The following is a 26,909-nucleotide window of genomic DNA, read 5'->3' as shown; positions in this document are numbered from 1 at the left end:
TTGAAGGCAGCAGATAGTTGGTTGGTGAATTCTTATCCATTCTGTGATTCTGTATCTTTTAAGTGGAGCATTTAAGCCATTTACATTCAATGTTAGTATTGAGATGTGAAGTACCATTCCATTTATTGTGATTTTGTTGCCTGTATACCTTGATTTTTTTAATTGTATTTTTGTTTTATAGGTCCTGTGAGATTTATGCTTTAAAGATGTTCTGTTTTGGTGTGTTTCCAGGATTTGTTTCAAGATTTAGAACTCCTTTTGGCAGTTCTTGTAGTGCTGGCTTGGTAGTGGTGAATTCTCTCAGCATTTGTTTGTCTGAAAAAGAATGAAAAAGATCACACACGCACACATACACACACACATGCTTCCATATTTCTCAAATAACAACTGTATGTTCTCTATCCATATTAAGCAAAAGAAACTTTTCTGAAGTATGACCTAATGGACACAGGTTCCTGTATTCACTGAGTTTGGTGCTTTATTACCTGCAAAGCTGTGTTGTCTCAGGTTTGTTCATCTTCCAGCCTCTACATCTTTCCCAGAGGCCTATAGAAGCATAAAAAATGAGGTCAATTACTCTGCCTTAAAGCACAGAGCCACCTGGCCCTGGATGGCCACCCTCTGGCCACCCCGAAATCTAGCCCCCAGGGCTCTGAGATACCCCATTGACCAAATAATGCTATTAGCAGGGCATCTCCATACTGTCACTTGTAGGAGGAGGAGGGAGCCATGAGGGGGGCTTCTCAGAAAAGCCTCACCAGTGAGTTGCTATGGGGTTAGTTACGTAGGTTGCGAGGATTTGGAAAGAATGGTAAGTTCATGTTTACTTTCACCTAATTATTCACAATTTCACTAGCTTTGATCCTAACCCTTTTCAGTCTTCATCTTTCTAGAGTAAAGAGTGATTTTTAAAAGCATTTTTTATCCATAGGTAGCCTCCCCTCCCTGACTCCATCATTTCAGTTATCCTTATCTGTCTATACCTTGCTCCCAAGTGTTCACCTGCTGGTTTAGGCCAGCTGCCAAGATGTCATGCTCTGGAAATTTCTTGAGATAATAGTTTCCAAATGTTTACTACCTTCAGCTTTGTCTCCTCTCTCTCGAGCTTCAAGAGTTGACTCCTAACTAAACTTTTCTAAGAATTTTAAAATCTGTCCATGCCCATCCTGCCTGAAATCCTCATAATTTTAAATTTTTAAAATCACATCCCCTTTTAACCTTTGCCTTTGCATTTTGAAGGCATGTAACATGTAATCAGTCTTGCATATGGCAAGCACTAAATTCACATTTTGTGGATTATTGATTTCCATAATGGTTCTGAATAACAAAATATATTCCTTCATGTAAACTTCCATTTATAATGTTATCAAATGCATTTGTGGTATGAGGAACTGGTTGTAGATATACCTGTGACATTTAAGGCAAAAGATAAAATTCCAGAGAAGATTATTCTTCCGTGTATAATGCATGGAAAGTATACTGAGGCCATTGGAAATTCAGGCAGTAACATCGGATCACCTGTGTTAGAGAACTCTTTTCCTGGTATATCAGTGCTGTGATATTGAGCAAGTTATCATATCTCTCCAAACTTCAGCTTCATCATCTATAAAAATGAGGACGACAATAACACATATTTTGTGTGATTTTTTTTTGAGGATTAAGTGAGATAATCTGCACAGCACCGGACCATAGAAAAAGCTTAATCCATGTAAAGCTATTATTATTGTGCTGCTGGTTCTTCAAGTAAACAATCTGGACATTGACTATGTCAGTGTTTTTCAAGTGTAAACAGAAGATCATCTCTATCAGAATCAACTTAGGTATATTTAGGCCGGGCGTGGTGGCTCATGCCTGTAATCCCAGCACTTTGGGAGGCCGAGGCAGGTGGATCATCTGAGGTCGGGAGTTCGAGACCAGCCTGGCCAACATGGTGAAACCCCGCCTCTACTAAAAATACAAACATTAGCCAGGCGTGGTGGCATGCACCTGTAATCCCAGTTACTGGGGAGGCTGAGGCAGGAGAATTGCTTCAACCCAGGAGGTGGAGGTTGCAATGAGCTGAGACTGGGCCACTGCACTCCAGCCTGGGTGACTGAGTGAGACTCCATCATACACACACACACACACACACACGCACACACACATACATTTACACACGATAAACAAAAAACAGAAAGTATCAACTTAGGTACATTTAGAACATGCAGATGCCTGGGCCCCACCCTGGATTTATTGAATTGCTCTTTCTCACACAGAGGTGTAAGCACCCGGGTTTTACCAGATGCCACAGTATATATTGATGAGACGTGCTGCTGATGGATGTGCTGCCTGAGGCTACAGGGCTCCTGAGGTGTTCTGTGTGAGCTGCAGCACCTGAGAGACTGAGTGGGCAGTGTCCACCCACTTAGGAATGCACCAGGTTACCCATTGGCCCAAATTTCTAGCAAGTTCTTAATGACGGTTTTAAGGTGGAGTTACACATCGTGATGCACAGGAGCTGTGCTCACCCTTGTCTCACATTCCTCTATGAATCCTTTTCTGCACTAGATTTAGGGAAAAACTAGGAGCGTGCGAGGAAAGAGTAAGTCCTAAGGAGGTAGAAAAATGCTCTCTGTTTAAGCTGCAAGAGAATTGATTCAGGTGCCACAGGACTGACATGGGGAATAAAAAAAGAATGGCATCTAGAAAAGGGGTATATTGGTGCCAACCACTAGACAGCTTTGGATTCTCTGCTCTCTATATCTTGGGAACACTTGCTGGGGGTGAGGTGGTGGGTGAACAGTATGAAGGGTCTTTGGTCTGTGTGAATAGATACTTGCTGACAAGAGGCTAGTTTCAAGCCATTAAAAATCTAGTTTTACTGGCATCTCAGAAAGGCAGCAATTGTTCTGTTTCCCTGGCACGATTATCCCATGGGGCAGGCTGCAACTTGTTCTATTTGCCCAAGCCTTAGTTGAGTCCCCAGGGAGGGTGGTCAGATGGTGACATTTCCAAAGCATATTTGTTTCCTGGTAGGAAGAAACACACTGAAGTGGTGGTGAGTCAGTTTCTTCCTGAGTCCCCAGAGTATAGGACCTATAATCTGGTAGCTCTTGTGCCTGGCATCTCTGTGTCCTATGGACAATCCGGCCCTTTTGGCGAGGTCTGACTGAATTGTTTTTGGGACACACCTTTGTGTATATGAGGAAGTTGGCATTTAATGATGCCATGGGTTCCTGAATGGTCTTTCACGAATGGTGGCTCAAACTTCCCAGCCCTGGAGAGGAAGGAACAGGGCTTTGCTATCTTTCTGACCCAAGCTTGGGTGCCTACAGGCTGGGTGACACTGGACAGGTGAACTAACTTCCCAGAGCCTCAGACTCCTCATTTTGCTGTCAGTATTGTGAAGATTAAATCAGATAACGAGTGAGAATACTCTTACATAATTCTGGCACATAGGACGTGCTCAGAAAATGGTACCTGTGGCCAATGCTGAAGGTACCAGTATTGCTGCCATTGTACTGGCACTTGAGATGTGGCAAAGGCTCTTCAGACTTCACTTCAGAGATTAAGTCCTGTGCCTTAATGCCTTCAGCAAACAAGATTCAACAGTCTAGTCCCACATAGGTAGATTAAATAACTCCTCTTTACCTTGAAAGACAGCTGGGCTTCTTCAAATAGATTAATCAGAGGAAGCAAACTCTAAAATTCAAGTGTAAACAACATAGTCAATACTATAAATCAACGTGTAAACAAAAGTGATGTATATTTAAGAACCTAAAGCCAAAAATTCAGAAATAGAAAATAATGACTTCTAAACTTTGGGCTGCATTAACTGTATGGCAGCTCTCAAGGAAAAGATCAACTATTTGCTCAGAAAGTTTCCAAAGCAATGCTTTGGAAAGGAAAAAGAATGATCTACAGGCTAACATAGCTGCAGGCAACATGAGCTTTTTGGTCGTCCTAACACTTCATTGACTAATGTTAGATAAGAGAAACTAATGGTTCATAAATGCATTTTCGTGATGTTGCTCTAAGATGTACCCCCTCATCTGGAGGTGAGGCAGGGTTTCCCTTTTCCAACATCCTAGCTGTGCCTACCCTCCATCCCATGGAAGCCAAGGTGTCTCACTGCATTTTAAATGAATATATATATATATATATGGAGTCTTGCTTTGTCGCCCAGTCTGGAGTGAAGTGGTGCGATCTCGGCTCACTGCAACCTCCGCCTCCTGGGTTCAAGTGATTCTCCTGTTTCAGCCTCCTGAGTAGCTGGGATTACGGGAATGCACCACCACACCTGGCTATTTTTTTTTTTTTTTTTTTTTTTTTTTTTGTATTTTTAGTAGAGACACGATTTCTCCATGTTGCTAGGCTGGTCTCAAACTCCTCATCTCAGGTGACCCTCCCGCTTTAGCCTCTCAAAGTGTTGGGATTACAGGTGTGAGCCACTTCGCCTGGCCCAAATAAAAATAATTTTAAATTCATGAATCCATAAGATTAAACCACTTGAGAGTAATTAGCAATTTCCAGAATTAATGGATAATGTTCAAATCAATTAAAAATGACTACTGGAAATTAAAAAAAATCCAACAGTTAGTAATACAAAATTATTTATTAGTAAAAAAGGAGACAGCATTTGTTCGTTATACAAAAAGTAAAACAATTGAAAGTTTCCTACAAAAATTTAAACTATGAGCATACAAAGTAGGAGTGGCGCTGTGACCGGGTCTGAGGACTTCATATGAATGCTTAGCATCAGAAAATTGGAAATAGTGACATGTAAACTGTGCTTGGGATATTGTGTTACCAAGTTGCATATTTTGCAGTGTCATCTAGACGTGGTAGAAAAATAGATATACCCATGCCATGTTCTGAATTACTGTAATTTCTATTAACTATAGCAGATGTCACAGTTTGTTTCCCTCTTATAGAAATCACTGGTGGCGGCTGCTGAGGGGGCAAAGTCCACACAGTCTGTGCTCGGGTAGAAGTACTCTGCTGCCTGGAGAGCATCCAAGTCCTCTGCCTCACACGATGCGCAGTAGCAGATGGAGGTGGTGGCCGAGGAGAAGCAGCTGTACTGGGCGTGTGAGGACAAGTGTTGGTAGGAATGGTCTTCTGGGGGGTAGCCACAGGTTCTGGTGTCCAGAGAAGCAGGGGAATTGTAATTCTCTGGAGCATATGAAGGCAGCTGCACTGGCGAGTAACTGTAGTCTAAGGAGCCAGAGAGAATGGAGGAATTTGAAGGTGATCCTGGGATCTAGAGAAATGACAACCAAGAAACAAAGAGCTTAATAACTTAGACAGGATCAAAGAACTGAACAGTGTGGGTTTACCAATGCAGAGTGAGAAAATGAGGGGTAAAAAACCAAATCAAACGAAACAACACCCAACCCAAGTCTGCAGAAGTAATTTTATTTGCTGACTACATGATTTCATGACACCACAATCTATAGTTACCTATTTCTTTCCAAACAATAAATTGCCTTGCTTCACTGGCTTCCTTTGTTATAATCCTACTTTAGAGGGTGCTCGTTCTGAAACCACAAAATCCCATTGTGCTTCAAGTCACCTGCATATCAAATCCTGCTGTATGCCACAATCTAAGCTGTAGGTGGCACCCTGGATGTTTCTCCACACCCTCACCATGAAGAATCAGGTGATCATGCAAAGGCATAACTTGGATCTTCAAGGATCTTGGAGTATCCCTGGCATATGCCAAGATGTGTCACTACCTGTCTCGCCACTAAAGTCTTGTTCCCTGGAGTGAGAGCTACTGTCTGTTTTCTCTTAAGCAAGTCTACAATTGTTACTGAGAAAACCTAACTTGGAGGCTGGGAAGGAACTGGGTCACTGGGGCCCCATATTTTCCCCGTGACAATGTGCATATTCTGCAGAGTTAATTTCCCATCCGCTCTAAAATTTAGTCTGATGCCCACACAGACTTTTGACAATCCAAAGGCAAAAAGTATTTACATTCCTTAAAAAAGAAAACTTTACAATTTAAGGTTTACAAAACAAACCTGTGAGTCTCTAAAAGACAACTGAAATAACTAGTTTCCACTAATAGAAACCTTACTTCATTTTGAAGGATAACACATTTTCAAACATTTGAGATCCACCGAGAACAACCAATTTAATTTTTTTCAAAGATTACGGCTTCATTTTTACTAACCATCTCAGACCCAAATGAGTTATTGTGCTTATAGCAGACTCAAACTATCAGTTAGTAGAGCCAGTTCAATGACAAAACAAAGCAAAACCTCCCCCTAATGAAATGAAGTTTGTTACCATATATACACAGCCTTAATTCCATTTCCAAGAACTCAAAATTCCATCAAAAAATCCAAGAGCCATTGTTTAAACCACTGACTTCCAATTAGTAGGTCTCTTGACTTTACAGTTTAAAAAACATTAAATGAATATTGCCAGGAACCTCTTTTTATTGCTACCCACCAACTTACTTGGTGGCCGAAAAATCTAAATCTTGGGAAATCTAAATTACGTGTGTATCCAAAGGTTTATGCCCTGCAGTGTGTGGCTACTTCTATACATTGACTTTTAAATTCTTCTCTGCTTGTTTCCTTGGATGATTTCCTTGCTGATAGTTTTTGTATGATTTCCCACGGGATGGTGCAAACTCACAAAGCACTATTACCCCATAGTTAGACACAATCAGGTATATAAAGAACTGAGAAAAATTACCAGGCTCTGGTTAAAGCAGAAAGGGGTGGCCTGGAAGCTGTCTGGGAAATGGTGTGGAGCACTTTGTGTGGAATTGAGCAAAGGCTCCGGGTGCATCTCTGTCTGAAGGTAGGAATCAAAGATCTGGTCGAGGCAGCTTGAGTTTTCTTCACATGAAACACAACTGGAAAATTCTCCCCGTTGCAAATAATTGGGCGTGGAAGAAATTGGTTCAGGCTCAAAATACAGTCCTAGAGGAGAAAGGAAAAAGGCAGGTTTTTGCATAAAAATTGCAAAACACAGATTTGAATGGAGATCTATACTCTGAATATTTACTATGTCTAGGGGGAAAGGGGGCTTAACAAATCCAGAAAAGTAAACGGGAATGCAATTTTGACTCTTTAGTTGTCCTAGCTAATTCAAGCTCCAGGGAAATGAACATGGTTAATAATGTGGAAACTGGCTGTAAAACTGGTTAGGGCAAAAATAAAAGGATGGTGACCCAATTTGTGTCCAAGTGTCACAGTCAAATAATGGCTCAAACTTCCCCTTTCTTGGGCTGTAAAACCATGGACATCCAGCCCCTACCGGCAGTTCACGTAAACCTCTCAGAAGTAACTGACAAAGTTGTTGAGGCTTTGAGAAAACTTCTGATGCTACGGGAAATAATTCTTTTGACTTATGGTGATTGCTTTTTTGAACTTTTCACTCTTACTCAGTAACTTAAGTTTGGAGGAGAGAATTTTGAGAAGTGATTTAAATGAGAATGCAAATGATAATCATGGAAACCAGGAACATAGAGTACCAATTAACACTATTGGCTCGGAAGTACAAAAAGCAAAAATGTTTTCTCAGTGAACATGTTAACATCATGATGTGATCAAAGTAAGTTGTTAAACATCAAACAAAGATAATCAGTAAACATTACTCCTTTTCCATTTTATTATTAATAGGCCCAATTTGTGATAATTATCTGTAAATGCTGGAAGAAGAGAGGATTAGAGTGTGCTCATCAAAGGGACTAAAGGACACTGTGTTCTTCTTGAGGTCTCAAGTTCCTTTAAGGTGAAGCTACGGTGACACATTTAGTGGGGAGAGGCCATAGGCAGAGGTTTCCTTATATACGACCTCCTTAAACTCTTAGCTGTTGAGTAGCAGAGGTAGGAGTGTTTATGTAATCGAGTTATTCTTATTGGGCTGAGAAAACCTACACTTGTTTGAACTGCTTTCTGGGAACAGAGAAGGGGAGGGAAGCCCCTGTCGGCTGGAAACTAAAGGAACAGAGCAAAGGCATTATTTGAGTGTCTTGGGATGTTCTGTATTCCATCTAACAGTGCACTAAAAAAAGATAAGTTCCTGAGAACAATTCTGATTTTGTAGTTCAGTTTAGTTACTTGGCGATGAGGAACTGGAATAAATGTGAAGAACAAACTCTTGAGACAATATAGCAGAGAGTAGAGAATTCAGAAATGAAGACAACATTTATGCTTGTTTTCTTGCTGGGCTTGCATGTGGAGTGACTATGCCTTTTTCACCTTCTGATTGGTTGGATTCCAATTAAATGGTGGTGCCTATCTTAACCCCTGAATCAAGACTGAAAGACTTTTGAGATGGACTTTTGAAAGAGTGTTTGAGGGAACTGTTAATGCTGGCTGTACTGACCTGCAGAAGATGGTGCAACTGGGTCTGAAAGGTGGACACTGCTGCCTCCGGACCGCTGTCAAAGCAAGAATATCACCGTGAAGCAGGCTGAAAGAAATGCTCTGAAGGGAAAGCTAAGACATTTTGATGAGGACTATGTTTCTTTCTGCTATAAGGTAAGCCAGATTCTTCCTTCTCAGAAAAAGTTGCTTTCTTTTTTTTTTTCAATGTTTGACAAATTTTTGTACAAAATATATTGTAAAAAACAAGTGAAAGGGAAAGTGTCAACAAATATTTTATAGAATTTGAAAGACAGGTGCATAGAATTGCGGTAGGTGTATTAAGTCCGTGTAGAATTTAAAATGCCTTTTGACGTTTATAATCCTTTTAAGATTCAATCTGGAAAATTGCATTGGAACAATGAAAACCTGAAATCGAATCATAAAACAGACTTCTTAAATACAACCAATATTATGTTTTATCTAGATCCAATATTTATGTTTGCTTGCTTGGGGAGTTTTTTTCCTAATATCAGATTCTTCTACTTAAATTTTAAAAGTGATTAATTTTTAGTAAAAAATTAATGTAAATAATTTTATGTGGTAAAAATGTAACAGTTTGAGAAAATGCAGCAAAAGGCTTCCTATTAAACTATTCGATTTAAAATTATTAAGGACTAACATTTATTTAATCTCAACTATCTATGGCTTAGTCAATTATTTTTCTCAAAAATTTCATATACCATCTGGCTACTTAGCCTTAGGGAGTCGTTTCCCCAAAGAACACAATTCTTAATTTTGTTAATTCTGAGTAGCTAAAAATATTCACATGTTCTTAGTATACATGAAATATTAAAATAGAAAATATTTTCTTAAAGCTGTGGTTGGTGAGTTGGAACCTACTTTCATTCTAGTTAATGGTCGGGAATTATTCCAGTACTTTGTATGTTTTGTACTACTATCTATAAAAGTTGCTTTTATTTAAACTACTGTATTTAAATACTTAAAAGTTTATGAGACTGCTCTTTTTAACTATTCAAAGTAAAGCAGCCTGCATTTTTCAGTTGAATTAATAATTATACTGAGTAATTTAGGATTTTTTTTTTTTTTTTAAATTTCAGGTGTGGCTTTAAAGTTTAAAGGTACCCGTATTGCTCTGTGATTCTGTGCTGGGAAGCCGAGCTCACCACACCTCTTTTGGGTTACAGGGCATACTCACTCCCATACTCTGAGCCACAGGGAGAGCTGTGCAGGCAGCCACTGCTGAAACAGGAGGCAGTATTAATTTTGAAAACGATCCATGCTGTAATGTCATGAACCAGGAAGCTGGAATCCTTTACCAGCTCTTTATGCAAATATTTGGCTGCAGCTTGAGCTGAAGGACTTGGAAGGAGTGGGTATTAAAAAATCTGCCTCATTGTAGAGCTTTCCTTAACTCCATTCCTCCCCCGGATTGGCCTGTTTGTCTGCCTCCACCCCATGTTATCTCCCTGAGGTGTGTTTACAATATCCTACTTGATATTATCTTTCTAGTCATGGGTTCACTTTCTACTTTGCTCCAAGAATACAAAGAAAGGCAACTCTCTCTTAGATTTCAAACAGCACAAAAATTCACAGTCTACAATTTATAAAAACACATCAAGGCTGTTTAAAAAATTAATGATTTAAAAAAAGAAAGGTAAATGATATCTTTTGATAACGACTAACTCAAGTTTCCTTTTACCCCAAAGGCAAGTGTGTGTGTGTCTGTGTGTGTGCGTGCATGCGCATGTTTGCAAATTGATCTGGCTGAAATAAGTTTTTTAAAATCGAGTGTTCCAATCCGGCATACACACAGTTTCTTCCGGCACTGCTTGAAGAATATTTGAATTCTTTACTGAATGTCTGTCTCAACCTATAACTTCCATTCGTGATTGCCTTCTTAAAATTTTAAATTGTGGATACTACACTGACTTTATAACAAATTAAGATAGATTTCTTGCCACTTTGTAGTATTTGATATAATTAACCCTCTCCTTGGCTTAAAGTTTCCCAGAGGCATCCTTCAACAAATGAACAAACTGGGGATCATCTCTGTTATACCAGAAAGGTCTACACTAAGAAGCAGGCAACATCATCCCCTGGTGTCTGCTACCCTTGCCTACTAAGTACGCTCTCACAGCTTCTTTAGAATCCCAGATCCATCCGATGGCTTCCAGTGAGGGATTTTACGTCTGGCTTTTGTAATTAAATTATATGCGTGTTAAACCTGCTTGCTTGCGAGGGCATAGGCTGATGCAGTCTTAAGGGAAGCAAAGTAGAGCAGGCTTTACTCTGCCTGTTCCTATAAGACACTGGTTCAGAAGTCCTGCTTTATTTCTCAGGAGGGAATTCAGAAAAATTTAAATAAGTCAAACTACTCCGGGGAACAGAAACTGGTCAGATACACAAGTGAAGTGTGTTACCCTCACATTAGCTCCTGTAGCGAGCTAAGAAGGGAACAGTGGCCACACCCATCTGTAAGGGCCCAGCAGCAACAGAAGTGCCACACTCACATGGGGCTCTCCAGGTGCAGCTGAGCAGAACTGTAGCAAGTACCAAAGCTCCTTAAGGAAACGTTACATTTTATTATGAAAGTCTTGATGATGTTTTTCTCCAGAAGCATTTTCCAGTTCCCTTGTACCTGGTTTTGTTAATTATATAACCATCTCTGAACTGAAGGGGTTGAGGCTATCAGACTCCTGCTTAGTATCGTCAGATCTGCAGAATGATGAATTTAGAGCATAAAGAGCCAACAGAAGGGTTTTTATATTACACTAAGAAAAAGACCTTAGTCCTACTTTTAGCGTTGCCATGAGCAACTTCAAGGTTTTGAATTTTGCCTGTAATCGAGGTACAGATCTCTGATCTACTTACCTCCGCTGGTTGTTATAAAAACTAAATGAAATAGTGGCTGTGCAAAAGTGCTTTAAAAGAAGAACCACTGTGAAGTCCTCTAGAAATGTAAGGGAGTGTTAATGCGTTACCTGAAATTCTGCACATGGAGGTCCTTACTTTTCCAGCTGCATGTGCTGTATATGCCAAATTGCAGCTGGCTCGCATCTGAACTCTAAACTCTGAGCAAAGGGTGTGAACAAACATTACCAAATAGCTGGCTTTCAATCCTTGGTTGGAATATTAGTTGCTTTCCCCAGATAATATTATTATTTCTCAAATAATGACAACTAACATTTATTGAGCACTCACTATGTGGAAAGCATTCTTCTAACGGCTTTGTATGCAATAACTCGATTAACCCTCACAAAATCCTATCATCCCCAATTTGAAGACGAATAAACAGAGGCAAGAGGAATTGGGTAATTTGCTTGAGGATACACACCATGGAGGAACTGAGATCTGAGCCCAGTCCATCTGGTTCTGGAACCTGTGTTTACCTCCCCTACATCATTTGCCCCCTCCCATTTCAAGAAGTCCCGCTGTCAAAGGCCTATTTCATGAAGTCACACATTGCACATGAACAGCATCAGGCACAAAAACTGTTGTGGGGCAGATGCCAATGGGCTGGAGAAGGACCAATCCTAACAGAGGCAATATGAGCCCCAGCTGTCAGATCCTATGTTCACACCCAAACCAACCCCCAAGCAATTGTATGATTGAGGCTTTTTAGGGATGAGCTGCCCTCTCTTGGGCAATAACCCCACCTAGTTTATTTGGTTCTGTTGCTGCCCTGAGTGCCTTTGGCAGTACTTACCGTAGGAAGGTGTATAAAGTGTCAGGGTATACCCTTATGACTGCTCAGTTCAATTTTGTAATAACCTGAAACTGCTTAAGGTGTTGATACATTTTAGGGAAGTGGTCCTGTACTCCAGCTGTCTCTTCTGCAGAGACAGGGCCCTTTTCTGCTAGATACTTTAGGTAACTGATGATTTACAGATAAATGATCTCAGAGGGTGAGTTCCAGAAGAATGAGGAGGGAAGGGAGGATGTTCCACACAGATGCTATCCTGGAAGGGGCCCCTAAAATGAGGTGAATTTCTGGGAGAGATTTTCTATGGGTCTGCAAGGGCTGTACATATATCCACTGTCTTCCTAACAAAACGATGTATACTTACCTGCTGGCCGCTCCTCCCCCTGCAGAGGACCAACGCACTTTTTATACTTTACTTTCACCCATGGGGGATGGATGGGCTCCCCCAAATCCTGAGCCCCACAACATGCCCCAGCTGTCCTCTGTAGCTTCCCGATTGGGATGCAGCTGGGTACAGAAGTCATAGGAACAGCAGAGGAAGGCCAGGTCTGGGAATGGTGAGTGCGTGGGGCCTTGAGTGGCCTCCACACCTTGCAGACACAGCTTTGAAAGAGGCCTGGCATGGGCTGGGGAATGAGGGAAGGGCTTATGCTTACGGTTCCCCCGGAGGCCGCCTGGTGTGCCCGTCTTTGCTGCAGCAGCTCCTTCACTGTGATCTTCACTCGGACACCTTGATACACCTTCGGTTTTTCTGGAGAAAGGCAACTGAGTCAGTGGTCGAGTCCAAGGTCTGGGTGCCAGGGTGCAGAGTGGGGGCCCCTTTTATAGGCTATGGCACCCAAAGCCAAGTTTCTAAGTTCGGAGAACACACACAAAAAATGTCAAAGGATGGTAAAAACCCAAACATTTCAAACTTGAAAGAATGAAGAGTAGCTGAGCAGGTTTCAGAGCCCCAGTAGGAAAAGAATCCGTGGAAATTTGTGGGGCCATCCACCCCTGGCTGGGCCTCAGTCCTAGGCCAATAGCAAACGGGTTTTTCTGCTCTGGAATATGGAGACCAGTGCAGCGGAGCCCACCACTCTGATTAGGTCGGGGGAACCTTGGCTTTCAGACCCAGACAGCCGAGAGAGAGGGTATTATGGACCTGGGGAGGGGCCAGGCCTGGGGCAGGGGGCTTTCTCTGATTATGGCGGCTGACGTAGCCCACCCCACTGTGATGTTCCCACTAGCATGGAAGTCCCGAGTCCCTTCCTTCTCCGCCTGGCCAGGTGTGGCTTCTGGGCAGGCTCCGACCTCTGCGTGCCCTTGGTCTGGAAGCCAGCCCGGGAGCAAGCGGTGAGGTTTGGCCAGCCCCGTCCTGGGCCGGCGAGGTACCTGCCAGACTGACCTAGTAAAGGGGCCAGGCCCGAGGAACTCCCTCCCTCGCTCCCTTCTGTCTTTGCCTTCTGCCCGCTCTCCCTCGTCCCTTTTCTCCGCCTTTTCCGCGCTCCATCTTGCCCTCCTCCCTCCTTCGCCCCCGCTCCTACTCTCCCCTTCTTCCCCTCTCTCCCTACCCCCTCCCTTTCTGGGGCAGGCGTTTCTCCGAGGCGCACTGAGGCTCCGGGGCGAGTCCGCGCAGCGCGAGCTGGGGAAAGCCGTCCGGGGCTCCCGATGACCCTGCACTCCGCCGGGAGGCCGCCCTTCGGTAGGGGCCGCCCCGGGGCTGGCGGGGCCCGGTCGGACTGCCCCGGCTCGCGGGAGGTGGCGGGCGCGCTCAAGAGGGGTTCGCTGGGAGGGACCCCTGAGCGCTGGGAGCAGGGGCAGCCTCAGCCCCGGGCCCCGAAAAGCCGCAGTGAGTAGGTTGGGGACTGGCTGTTAGGCCAAGCCGAGCCGGGCGAGCTTTCAAGGTGGAGGTGGCCGCAGGAGTCCGGGGCGGCTCCGGCCCTGACCACTACCCTGCAGTGTGCGTCCAGGAATCGCGCCGGGAAGTGCGCTGGGTGCGGCGGCCGAGGGTGACCGCGCGTTCAGCCTGGACGCCTGGAGATAGTGCCAGGATGCCAGCGCCTCGCCTGGTCACTGCGGGGACCGCAGCTGGACAGCAGGGATCCCCCTCAAGCCGGGTTCCAGGAGTTAGGGTCTCCCCAGGAAAGGAGATTGCGCTCTTCCTAGCCCGGACCCAGGGAATCCCGTGCCCCGCCCGCAGGGCCCAGGCGCCGCGCCCTCTCCGCGCTCCAGCCTACCGCAGCCCCACCACCCCGTTCCCCGATCGGCTCCGGACTCCGCGGGCAGCGGGCGCCCCTCGGGGTCCGCGCAGGGACCGCCACAGCTCGGCTCAGTGCAGTCGGTGCGCTCTGCCCCCGTCCCAGGCTCACTGTGAGCCTCTAGCTCCCCCCGTAGCAGCTTCTGGGCGCGCAGGGTCCGCACCGCGTGTCTCAGGACACAACAGTGGATACGTGGGAGGGCGGGCGGGGGCCTGGGGTACGCGGACGTCCGGAGCGGCCAACTCGGCCTCTGGGCCTCTGCCCTCCGGGACAGGCGCTGAGTGGGAGCGGCCACAGCGTGGCTCGCGTCCTCTCCGGATCCCCGGCCCTTACTCGCATGCCTTGACTTTGTGCCTCTCTGTTCTATGCAGGAAAAGCCGTGGAAACACACCCGGATTGAAATGCCCCTGGCCCGCCTGACCCGACCCTAGGAGAAGCAGCCGAGTTACCCGACATCGTGGTCAGCAGGAGCTGGGTCGGTGGCTGGATGCTGCAGCAGCAGGGACTCAGCGCCTGGGAGGGCTCCTGGGGCAGGGAGAGAAGCAGAGATGCAACATTTTTAAAATTTCACAAAGCATCCGGCTGCACCCAGGTCCCTGGAACAGGAGACAAACAGAATTAATGTTTTATACCTTCGGGTATAGGTTTGAGTTTTTTCCCCCTCATGCCAAGTATTTAAAACCTCTAGAAACCCATGATTTGACAATCAATGATTGCGCGATACTTTCAATTTGAATATTCAAAGGCTTAACAAAATGGACTATCTTCTGCAGAAATCCTGCACACAGGCACCCCACAGAGAGTCCAGAGAAACAGGGAGTGAGACCCCTTTGGGTCCTGGCCCTTGCTTTTATTATAGTTTGAGCATTTTGTCCTCCTTCCCACAGATAGAGCAGATGTCCTCAAAGATGCTCTGTATTTCAGCCTTCAGGGCAGCTAAGAAGCCATGAGTGACTTAGGCTGCCCTGGCCATGAACACCGGAGCCAGACTGGCTGGCCAGACTGATTCCCGCATCCCCCATCTGTGTTTTGAGGGGAAATCTCAGGTTTTGAGGAATGAACATGGCAGCTAGTGGGTGTGGCACAGCAAGAAGTCGCTCTGGGCCCAGGTGGCAGGCCAGCGGCCTAGCAGAGGCCTTCGCTCTGCACCTCCTATTTTTCTGGCTCCGCCTGGCTACCAGCGGGCTTCCCTCCCCCTTTCATCCCGCTCTTCCTGGGCCCGACACTGGGGTTTCTGCTCAGAATGACTGCCCATTAAGACCCTTTCCTCCTCCCCACAGAGCTGGGGATGCCAGGAGCCTCATCCTCTGGAGACTTTCTGACTCTGGGTTTCACCACCGCACTGCGAAGTGCCCTCTTTGCTTTTTCGCCTTCTAGAGCCACCCCTGCCTTTTTGCTGTAGGAGCACATGTTAGGAAACAATGACAAGTTTGGCTCCTGCTCATTTTAACTGAAAGGATGTGGACTTAGGTTCAAGCCTTCTCCCATTGGGGTGAGAAGGGGGAGGGACTTGGGATCAGGCTTCCCCCTTGGTCCAGGCCCAAGCCCCTCACTAATGACTTGGGATTCTACTGGGTCATCTTCTGTGAGTACTTACTGTGCCTCTTCCATGTGATTTGGAAGGTGAGGAGACAGGAATGGTCCACAGAGGGAGAGAGTGCCAGGCCAAGTCCTCTCATAGCCACCCGCCCCCTCCACAGAAGGGGACAGCAAGAGAAGAGAGAGGCATGGTGAGGTTCCTTTTGCAAATAACCAAGATATTTCCAGGATTCAAGACCAGTCCATGGTTTTAGGCCTCTGCTGTTTATTCTCTGAGTTCTCAGAAATGCAAAAAGTGTAGTTTAGCCCCAGAGGCCTCAAGAAAAAGATTGGGGTGCCCCCAAATGTGTCAAATACAGAGGGAAACACACAGAGCTTAGGGAAAGGGCAACTGAGAATGACAAGACTGATAGGAATTGCTTGGCAGCTGAAGCCACATCTCTGGGGGAGAGGAGCAGGCCTGGGAACACCTGAGGTGGCACCTGGCAGTGGAGGGCAGGATGGATGTATTGAAATCTGACAGCTTCTGGAACTTCTTTCTACAAATGCCCCTGAGCCTGTGTCCTAGGTTTCCCTGATGGACCAGACCTGAGGAGGGGAAGGACAATGGGGGTGGAGATGGCACCTCCCCTCCCTGCATGCCTTCTTCCTCGCTGTGCCTAGGCCTTGCCCCCTCTGAAGGAACAGTGAACCAAGCAGCTTGGAATCTAGGGATGGTCTCTTGTCCTCATAGCGTCTTCCATTACTTCTTTTCTTCGCTGCTCTCCTCCTTTTTGTTATACTCTTATTTTTTGATTTGCTTTTAAAAACCTTCTTTGTTGCATTTTTGTTTATTTCTTTCTGTGTTTCTTTGTCTCTCTTCCTGTCATTGCTTTCTTCCATTTCTTATCTGTACTACTGGTTTTCTCCCTGGCTTCACGTGTCTCTGTGTTCCCCTATGCTGGGGTGTCCTCCCAGTGCTTTCAGGCTTCATCTCCTTCCTAACCTCTCCTTTCTATTTTTTTTTTTTTTTTTTTTGAGATGGAGTCTTGCTCAGTCGCCCAGGCTGGAGTGCTAACCTCTCCTTTCATGTGGAGATGGACAGGGATGGCAGGAGCACTGAGTGCTCTTGACAACACCATTGAAGATGATGCTGACGATCAGCTACCCTGTGGAGAAGGCAGGCCAGGCTGGGTGAGAGGGGAGCTCCTTGGAAGTCAGGGGGTCTGTAAGGACAGCAAGGATCTCTTTGTCCCAACCTCCAGCAGCCTTTATGGGTGCTTCTGTGTTGGCCTTGTTTCTGGGATGGCCATCTCAGTGCTGTTGCTGGCTAGCGATTTCAGAAAACTAGATTTTTCTAGGCCTGAGCCCTGTTTTGAGAAAGAAGCTTCCCTCTGGTTTGTAGCTCAACATTAATGAGTTTTGGTTCCTGTTGTTTCTATAATTACAAAACCCCAGCACAGGTATTTAAGAGCCAAAGGCCATGCTTGTGGAAGTAAGGGAGGATCTTTCTAAATGGATCCTGCAAATCCTCCTTACAGATCTGAGTGGATGATCAGGCCCAGAGCAACCCTGAGACCCCAGGTACCCACAGCATTGGCTGTTCTTCATAGGAGACTCAGAGAAGACTTCATAGGAGACTCATTATTGTTTACTGGACATCAGGTGCTATATTGTATAGCATTCACATTCCACAGGTGAGGAAACAGGCTCAGAGGAATAAGTGGCATGCCAAGATCACTGAGTATATCAGTAGCAGAATTAGGATTCAGACTTTGTTAGGCCTAACTCCAAAGCCCTGGCTTTTTTTTTTTTTGAGATGGAATCTTACTCTGTCACCGGGCTGGAGTGCAGTGGCATGATCTCAGCTCACTGCAATCTCTGCCTCCTGGGTTCAAGTGATTCCCCTGCCTTAGCCTCCTGAGTAGCTGGGACTACAGGCATGCACCACCACGCCCAGCTAATTTTTGTGTTTTTAGTAGAGAGGAGGTTTCACCGTGTTGGCCAGGATGGTCTCAATCTCTTGACCTTGTGATCTGCCTGCCTCGGCCTCCCAAAGTACTGGGATTATAGGCATGAGCCACCATGCCCGGCCTTTGCTCTTAACTACTGATGTTGTCTTCCTGATCTTTTCTACAAGAAGCTTTTAAACTTTTTGGACTTTAACCTACAATAAGAAATCCATTTTACATGTTCACATGTATCTATAACAACATTTATATTTCTAAAACAAACTTTTCATGAAACAAGATATACCTACATATGTCAGGCACTCTGATATTTTCTATTCTAGTCCACCTTTTCCATTTCATTCTATTTATGGGAAATATATGTTGGTTGGGAGTCACTGAGTTAATTTAATGACCCACTAATAGGCTGTGAGTGGCATTGGAAAAATACCTGCTTGTAAGATATGCGAACACACGTTTCAAGGTTGTTTGTGCATGTGGAAATATTTTGGGGTGCTATCTGTTTTACCATCAGTTTGTACAAGGACACTAAGACAGTGTAGCCTGCTGACTTGAGAATGTTCTGTAAGGACTGGAAACACTAGAATCTTGAAGAAACGCCTGGCTAGAGGTGAGGGTAAGCTGTTAATTACACTGATTACAGTTTGTGCCTCTCAGACTGAGAACTCTTTTCTTCTTGCTGGGGGCATTGCTATCTCTAGGATGTTTGCCCTGAAGTCCTGATAGTCTCTTTGGGGTTTTAATAAATGGCTGAAAAAATTGTTGTGGGGTTTCAACAGGCGTTCATAGGCACCCTTGCTTGGCAATATAACATGGCTTTTGATGTTTGGGTGTTGGAAGGGATCTTTGAAGTGCTGAGAGGGACTCAGTCTTTTTCCAAAATCTCTGCTTGTGTCTGTCCAGCCTCTGGCTCCACTGCTTGGCTGAGATCCTGGCCCATAGTAGAATCTGTGTAGAGGAAACGAGAGCTCACTATTTGTGAGGCAGCCTGTTCCACTATTGGACTGCTTTAAATGTAGTGATCAGTGATTATGCTATAATCCAATCATGTATTAATTGGGCACCAACTATGCACTAGGCATGGTATCAAGTACCAGGAGTACAAAAATAAGTAAACCTTGATTTCTGCTATCAATTACTCTCTTCTCCTACTTCTGTACTACTGCTTTTCTATTGTGAGTTTGTTTAGTTCATTAATTGGTTTATTCATTCATTCAACAATCATATACTGATTAGCTACTCTGACCAGGTCCAGTACTAACTCTGAAGAAGTTATGCCCATCCCATCTTCACCCCAAGCCTTCTCCTTTTGAGACTCCTCATCCAGTTTCTTTAGTTCTTCATATATCACTGTTTTTCAGATCTCTGGCTATCCTTGCCATTGACCTCAGAAATCCTGTATTTGACCTTAACCTTCTTATACCCAGTCCATACCCAAAGTGATGGAAATGGAATAGATTTCTTTTTAAAGTTTTAAACGAATATTTTGACTGAAAAATTTTGGCAGTCTTGTATGCAAATGACACTGCAGAGCATTGTTTTCTCCCCCCCACGTAGGAGATTTTATTCAACTAAGGCACAGGCATATTAAAAGACTTTCAGTATAAGGAAAAGGGGTAGTTTATTCCCTCCAAATTTGACTACAGCTCGAAATTGTCTTTATTAATGCAAAGTTCTTTTGTCACCTTGACTTTGGGACACTGTTACCAAACCTCGTGGGAAATATCAAGTTCCAGAAGATTGAATACATGCAGGAAACAAATGTTTTTTGGGCCCTAGAGTGAACATTTGGTCCATATGAAAATGACCAGGAAGACAATTAGGTGAAGGTTTTTTAATGATTTGTGCTACGTCAGTCTCTTCCCATAAGACATATTCAAAGTTTTAACTTTTCCTTAAGAGGCTTCCATGGGGAGCAAGCATTTGATAATTCATCCTTTAAGAAAAACACCACCGTACACTGCTTGAAGAGTTCCTCTTCTATTACTTAAAACGTTTTTATTGTGCAACATTTAAGGCATACAAAAACATATAAAGAATACCATGATGAAAATCTATGACTGTATTACCAAGCTTAAGAAATAAAACAGTTGAGTGATCTCTCATTTATGACTAAATTAACTTATTAAAACCATTAAAACTTTTGGATTATTCCTGTTAAGATATTTTCTTTTTTTTATTATTATGCTTTAAGTTCTAGGGTACATGTGCACAATGTGCAGGTTTGTTACATATGTATACATGCACCATGTTGGTGTGCTGCACCCATTAACTCGTCATTTACATTAGGTATATATCCTAATGCTATCCCTCCCCCCTCCACCCACCCCATGACAGGTCCCGGTGTGTGATGTTCCCCACTCTGTGTCCAAGTGTTCTCATTGTTCAATTCCCACCTATGAGTGAGAACATGCGGTGTTTGGTTTTTTGTCCTTGCAATAGTTTGCTGAGAAAGATGGTGTCCAGCTTCATCCATGTCCCTGCAAAGGACATGAACTCATCCTTTTTTATGGCTGCATAGTATTCCATGGTGTATATGTGCCACATTTTCTTAATCCAGTCTATCATTATTGGACATTTGGGTTGGTTCCAAGTCTTTGCTATTGTGAATAGTGCCTCAATAAACATATATGTGCATGTGTCTTTATAGCAGCATGATTTATAATCCTTGGGTATATACCCAGTAATGGGATGGCTGGGTCAAATGGTGTTTCTAGTTCTAGATCCCTGAGGAATCGCCACACTGTCTTCCACAATGGTTGAACTAGTTTACAGTCCCACTAACAGTGTAAAAGTGTTCTTATTTCTCCACATCCTCTCCAGCACCTGTTGTTTCCTGACTTTTTAATGATTGCCATTCTAACTGGTGTGAGATGGTATCTTATTGTGGTTTTGATTTGCTTTTCTCTGATGGCCAGTGATGATGAGCATTTTTTCATGTGTCTGTTGGCTGCATAAATGTCTTCTTTCGAGAAGTGTCTGTTCATATCCTTTGCCCACTTGTTGATGGGGTTGTTTTGTTTTTTTTTCTTGTAAATTTGTTTGAGTTCTTTGTAGATTCTGGATATTATCCCTTTGTCAGATGAGTAGATTGCAAAAATGTTCTCCCATTCTGTAGGTTACCTGTTCACTCTGATGGTAGTTTCTTTTGCTGTGTAGAAGCTCTTTAGTTTAATTAGATCCCATTTGTCAATTTTGGCTTTTGTTGCCATTGCTTTTGGTGTTTTAGACATGAAGTCCTTGCCCATGCTTATTCCTGTTAAGATATTTTCTTAGGGGGAAGTTTAGCAGGTATATCTATCAATTTTCCTAATCCAAAAGAGCTAATTCCTAGATACTGTATGTTTGGTCCACATTTCATTCCTCTTGGAACTTCTAACATTTTTTACTGTTCTTTTTTTTAATTGTACTAACAATGACATTGCATATTACAAATGCACGTATGTTATTTATCAGAGATTATAATTAGAGGATACTTTTTTTTTCTTTTTTGAGACAGGGTCTCATTCTGTCTCCCAGGCTGGAGTGCAGTGGTGCAATGATGGTTCACTGCAGCCTTGACCTCCTGGGCTTGAGCAATCCTTCCGCTTCGGCCTCCCAAAGTGCTGGGATTACAGGCGGCGTGAACTGCCACACCTGGTCAGAGGATACTTCCATATCAAAAATCAAATATAATATAATGCCATCATTTGCAAATAACTATAGAATATTTTAATGTTTATTTAGCTTGACCTTTGGGGATTCTTGTTCCTGATTTATCATACTTGTTTTAGTCACACCAGAGATAATGATCAAACATTAAATAACTTTTATTTATAAGATTTCTTAGCAACAGATCATAGTACATGTACATACTAAATGAATATATCAACATTTTTCTGTGCTATTTCAAAGGTTCAGTAATTTTATTTCATAAAGGTATCTAAAAAGACTAAACCAGTCATCTTAAATATATTACCACTAAAGCCCAATATCCACCTACTGTCTGAATTTGGAGAGAGTATGGCTAATGTTAGATACTAAACATGGTGAGAATCCTCTCAGATACTGGTTTCAGAGAGCTGTCACCCATAGAACCAAGGGCTAAAAAGTTACTCATCTTTATGGTATAATTTTACTTCAATCTAACAAAAATTTACTGAGCATCTACAGTGTTCTGGGCCTCGAGCCAGGTGCTGGGACACAGAGGTGAGCCACTCATGAGTCCTCCCCATGAGTCTCTTTAGCTGGAGAACCACTTTGTCTAGAGTGTGTGATTTTGCACTTAACCTCTCTAGAGTCTATGGTGTGTGAGATGAACAGTGTAATATTGTTTTGCATAGAGAGGATACTGTAGACAGAACCCAGTGATGGAGCCTTAAGTAAAGAGTATAATTTTGGTGTGTGGTTGGTAGAATCACTATAATGTAATGTGACTTAAACCTTAGACATCAATCATTATTTTGGTACTTTAAATATAACTGATGTTTTATTCCTTGTGACTACACTATTTAGATATTTACATTAAATATCGAAAAACTGATCACAAAGATACTATAATACTTTTATACATGTGTGTACGTATGTATATATGTATGTATGTATGTCAATGTATGTTTTACTATTGGCATTAGTAATTATTTTCCCTTTATGCAATTTCTTTTAGAGTGCTTCTGTCTTCTCCTCCTACCCAATAGTACCATGAAATTGTATTATTAACTGAGCTATAGCAAGTCATAATGATCATTTGAAATCATTTATTAAATAAATGAGGTAAAGATGTAGTTTTCTTCTCTCCTTTTTTTGGGGTTTGTGTAATATTGTAAGAGGAATGCAAATGCCTTCAACTACATACTGCATGTGTTTCATGGCATGATTGTCTATATTGCAGCTTTTGCATGGGCAAATTGTGCTCAATTTCTTTTTGGCATTATCATCTAGTCAGCTTTCTTTAGTGGCTTGAACTTGACATACCATCTCTGATTACTTTAAGTCTTAAATATATCCTGTGTCCTTACAAGACCTGAAAGAGATGGAGTGTTGAAACAGAGCTCTTTAATTTTCTCTGACTTTCTCAGGAAAGTTGTAAGTCAGTGAATAGCAGGTTTAAGGAAGGTGAGGGAGAGAAGAATGCACCTATTTTTGTATGTTGGCGTGGTACATTGTTATGAAAAGGTGCGATTAGTCCCCACGTGTTGTAGAAAATTGGCTGGGCGCGGTGGCTCACGCCTGTAATCCCAGCACTTTGGGAGACCAACATAGGTGGGTCACTTGAGGCCAGGAGTTCCAGACCAGCCTGGCCAACATGGTGAAACCCCATCTCTACTAAAAATACAAAAATTAGCTGGGTGTGGTGGTGCATGCCTATAATCCCAGCTATTCAGGTGGCTGAAGAAGGAGAATTGCTCGGACCTGGGAGGCGGAGGTTGCAGTGAGCCGAGATTGTGTCACTGCCCTCCACCCTCCTCCAGCCTGGGTGACTGTCTCAAAAAAAAAAAAAAAGAAAGGAAAGAAAACAGAGAGGAATTGAAAGAAAAATGGGGTTGGATAAGGAAATAGAATTAATTTTCCTGTCATAATTTTGTAGTTTGATTTCACCTTTTAACAAAGTATTCCCTGAACAATAAAACAGAATCAAATTAAAATATATGTAAAACAGAGACACATTGTCAAACTAAACAGAATTCTTTTTGTTTTTTGAGACAGAGTTTCGCTCTGTCGCTAGGCTGGAGTGCAGTGGCGCGATCTCGGTCACTGCAACCTCCGCCTCCCAGGTTCAAGCAATTCTCCTGCCTCAGCCTCCCAAGTAGCTGGGACTACAGGCGCCTGCCACCATGCCCAGCTAATTTTTTGTATTTTTTAGTAGAGACGGGGTTTCACCATGTTAGCCAGGATGGTCTCGATCTCCTGACCTTGTGATCCACCCTCCTCGGCCTCCCAAAGTGCTGGGATTACAAGCGTGAGCCACTGCGCCCAGCCCAAACTAAACAGAATTCTTGAAGATCACTTATTATTTGGAATTATTAGCACCAGCCCTACTCCCCAAACCCCTTTTAGACTAGATAACTGAAGTGGACACTAGCAGGCATATGTGGGCCTGAGTGTGTCTCTTTTTTATAAGTTAATTTAGTCAAATGCTATGAAAGGGATAGGATGCTTTAAGAAGAATGTAAACATTGTCGTGCTCCCTGTATTTACCTCTGTTCCAAGGTCTGGTTGTTGAGCTCTCTTTGTCTGAGAGCCAGTGCATCTTCAAGTTGTTAGGAGATGAAGGAACACGTGAACATGCATAATATTCAGTGTCACCTCTCAAAAGAAGACATTTATGCAGCCAACAGACACATGAAAAAATGCTCATCATCACTGGCCATCAGAGAAATGCAAATCAAAACCACAATGGGATACCATCTCACACCAGTTAGAATGGCAATCATTAAAAAGTCAGGAAACAACAGGTGCTGGAGAGGATGTGGAGAAATGGGAACACTTTTACACTATTGGTGGAACTGTAAACTGGTTCAACCATTGTGGAAGACAGTGTGGCGATTCCTCAAGGATCTAGAACTAGAAATACCATTTGACCCAGCCATCCCATTACTGGGTATACACCCAAAGGATTATAAATCATGCTGCTATAAAGACACATGCACAAGTATGTTTATTGTGGCACTACTCACAATAGCAAAGACTTGGAACAAACCCAAATGTCCAACAATGATAGACTGGATTAAGAAAATGTGGCACATATACACCATGGAATACTATGCAGCCATACAAAAGGATGAGTTCATGTCCTTTGTAGGGACATGGATGAAGCTGGAAACCATCATTCTCAGCAAACTATTGCAAAGACAAAAAACCAAACACCGCATGTTCTCACTCATAGGTGGGAATTGAACAATGGGAACACTTGGACACAGGAAGGGGGACATAACACACCGGGGCCTGTCATGGGGTGGGGCGGGGAGGGATAGCATTAGGAGATATACCTAATGTAAATGATGAGTTAATGGGTACAGCACACCAACATGGCACATGTATACATATGTAACAAACCTGCACGTTGTGCACATGTACCCTAGAACTTAAAGTATAATAATAATTAAAAAAACAAAAAACAAACAAACAAAAATTCAGAGTCATAATCACATGAAAGTTAAAGTTATGTGGACACATATTCATGATTTACACAGCCACTACTGTGTTACTGATACCCAGTAAAATGGTAAGCAGTAGAGGACAAATCATTTTAAACTTTACAACACCAATCTAGGAAAATGACCCTGAGACCCTTGTGAAGACCTCTATATCTGCAGAGAGGGCCAGATCTCTTCTTTCTGATGCACAGGCCTGCTCTTCAGGTATGAGTAACTGCTGAATGACAGATGGTTCTACCAGCCATATTGGGAACCAAGACTGAGGTTGCAAGTCATGCTGGATTTAGGAAAGAACAGCTCCTTTCTTGCACTGTGAATGTTGCCACTTTTCACTGAAGAGCAAGCACTAAGCAAAGCAAAGTTCAGGCTGCCCAAAGGAGCTGGTGGAGGGGGAGGAAGTGGGGCAGGGGGCCTGGCAGTGCTGCCCAGGAGCAGAGAGCCCCACGCGTTCACTCTTGATCTACTCCCTGAAGAATGCTCTGCCTGGAGGGAGCCGAAAGGATGAGGTGAACGAAAGCTCACTACCCAAGCATTTCTGGTGGCACTCCATAAACTAGAAGTGAGTTTGCTTAACCAGAAAATACCTTGAAGGCCTGGAAAAAAAAGGAATATCAATTATTTGCTTGTAAGTGTGAATTAATCCCCTTGTTGGAATTTCTGGGCTTCTACCTTGCTGAGGTAGAGTATGGGACAGTCACAGAGGATGTGATGGAGATTGTGTTGAGGGTCTTTGGGCAACTAGAGGGAAAATGAAGGCCTTGGCCTCCAGAAGATGGAGAGAAATGGCATTGGATCAGGAGGGACCAGAGGGTGGAAAAGATGTGAGAATGAAGTGCAGAAAGACAGGTGGTAGGAAGCTAAGAAGAAGGGTGCAGGTACAACCCGGGGGCCTCCACTCATGCATCTGCAAAGTCTCAGTGTATACCAGGCATGTATGATGAGCTTGGCCGCAGATAGGCATGCTGGAATTATGCTGGGAACCCAATTAGCAAAGGAACCCACACCAATCCAATGTGGACAGATTCATGCTTCAGATGTCAATATCTTCATTGACACATAGTAAGAGCTGCACTTTTCCGACTAGTAAGCCACCAAATAGGAGGTGCTGTTTGTCAAGCCATCGGCTCACACATGGCAATATGTCCTTCTCCAAAGTCCTTTTGCTTCTTGGTGTTTTGTGGTCTGTTTCTTGCCAACAGCTTAGTCCTATTTTCTGTATTTTCTTTAAAGGGTATGAATTTGGTTGGGTGTGGTGGCTCACGCCTGTAATCCTAACACTTTGGAAGGCCATGGTGGATGGATAGATTGAGGTCAATAATTCAAGACCAGCCTGGGCAAATAGTAAGACATTGTCTCTACAAAAACTTTAAAAAAAAAGTAAAAAATAAAAACACTAGCTGGGCATGGTGGCATACACCTGGGTCCCAGCTACTTGGGAGGCAGAAGTAGGAGGATTCCTTGAGCCCAGGAGATTGAGGCTGCAGTGAGCCATGATTACACCACTATACTCCAGCCTGGGTGATAGAGTGAGACCCTGTCTCAAAAAAAAAAAAAATTTCCATTTGATTACAGAATGCCTATTTTACTCATTCATGCTGATAACTGTAGGTTTATTCCATCAGAGAGACAATGTCTGGTTTAATTAAGGCCATCACTGATCAAAGAAAATTTTTGGACTTTTTTGGATTGAACTAATTTGGGGACATTCTGGGCTTTAGGATAGAGTCAAAAAATAACTTTGTTATGTACAAAGCCATAGTTTCCTGATCTCATCCTATTTTATGGACAATAACATATTTATAGATTGTACCTTTTTTTTAACTGGGGTTTTACAAGTCACTATAATAAGCCATAAATATATGTATATGAAACACTTCACTCTTTCAAGTCACATGCTATAAAATGAGTTTTATGTGGTCATATCTATATTATATCCTATCCAGTGTCTTTTACTGCAGAATACACATAGTTTAAAACTAAGAAACATCTGACAGGAAAATCAGTATCTTTTA

At 43.3% G+C, this 26,909-nt stretch overlaps 1 protein-coding gene and 1 long non-coding RNA gene across 16 annotated transcripts, besides 1 other annotated feature; one reads left to right on the top strand and one right to left on the bottom strand.

The window, feature by feature from the left end:
• POU2AF3 (POU class 2 homeobox associating factor 3) lies at positions 4,576-14,765 on the bottom strand. Of its 10 annotated transcripts, XM_017017196.3 has the most exons (6): positions 14,723-14,765; positions 12,690-12,784; positions 10,841-10,891; positions 8,329-8,383; positions 6,688-6,917; positions 4,576-5,242 (listed from the first exon to the last, which is right to left on the bottom strand). In XM_017017196.3, the coding sequence occupies exons 1-6, from the start codon at positions 14,727-14,729 to the stop codon at positions 4,874-4,876; spliced, it is 807 nt and encodes a 268-aa protein (XP_016872685.1). In that variant the 5' UTR covers positions 14,730-14,765; the 3' UTR covers positions 4,576-4,873. The 10 variants fall into 10 exon arrangements, with proteins under 10 accessions (XP_016872685.1, NP_001258387.1, NP_001258386.1 ...); NM_001271458.2 differs by lacking the exon at positions 10,841-10,891; NM_001271457.2 differs by lacking the exons at positions 10,841-10,891; positions 14,723-14,765 and adding an exon at positions 14,253-14,387.
• Positions 8,263-19,922, top strand: COLCA1 (colorectal cancer associated 1). 6 transcript variants are annotated; one of them, NR_169237.1, is made up of 2 exons: positions 8,263-8,483; positions 14,645-19,922. It is a non-coding gene; the product is annotated as a colorectal cancer associated 1 (long non-coding RNA). The 6 variants fall into 6 exon arrangements; NR_169241.1 differs by lacking the exon at positions 8,263-8,483 and adding an exon at positions 13,079-13,166; NR_169245.1 differs by lacking the exon at positions 8,263-8,483 and adding an exon at positions 13,275-13,368.
• Positions 13,626-13,825: a silencer, noted in NCBI's record as "silent region_3894". NCBI's record gives its function as "represses an Ori minimal core promoter by ATAC-STARR-seq in GM12878 lymphoblastoid cells {active_cell/tissue: GM12878}" and the evidence as "EXISTENCE:reporter gene assay evidence [ECO:0000049][PMID:35858748]".

Source organism: Homo sapiens, chromosome 11 (genome assembly GCF_000001405.40).
Source record: "Homo sapiens chromosome 11, GRCh38.p14 Primary Assembly".
In the NCBI taxonomy this organism is placed as follows: Eukaryota; Metazoa; Chordata; class Mammalia; order Primates; family Hominidae; genus Homo; species Homo sapiens.
Note: the sequence above shows the minus strand (reverse complement) of the source record. Positions and strands in the feature narration are given on the sequence as shown.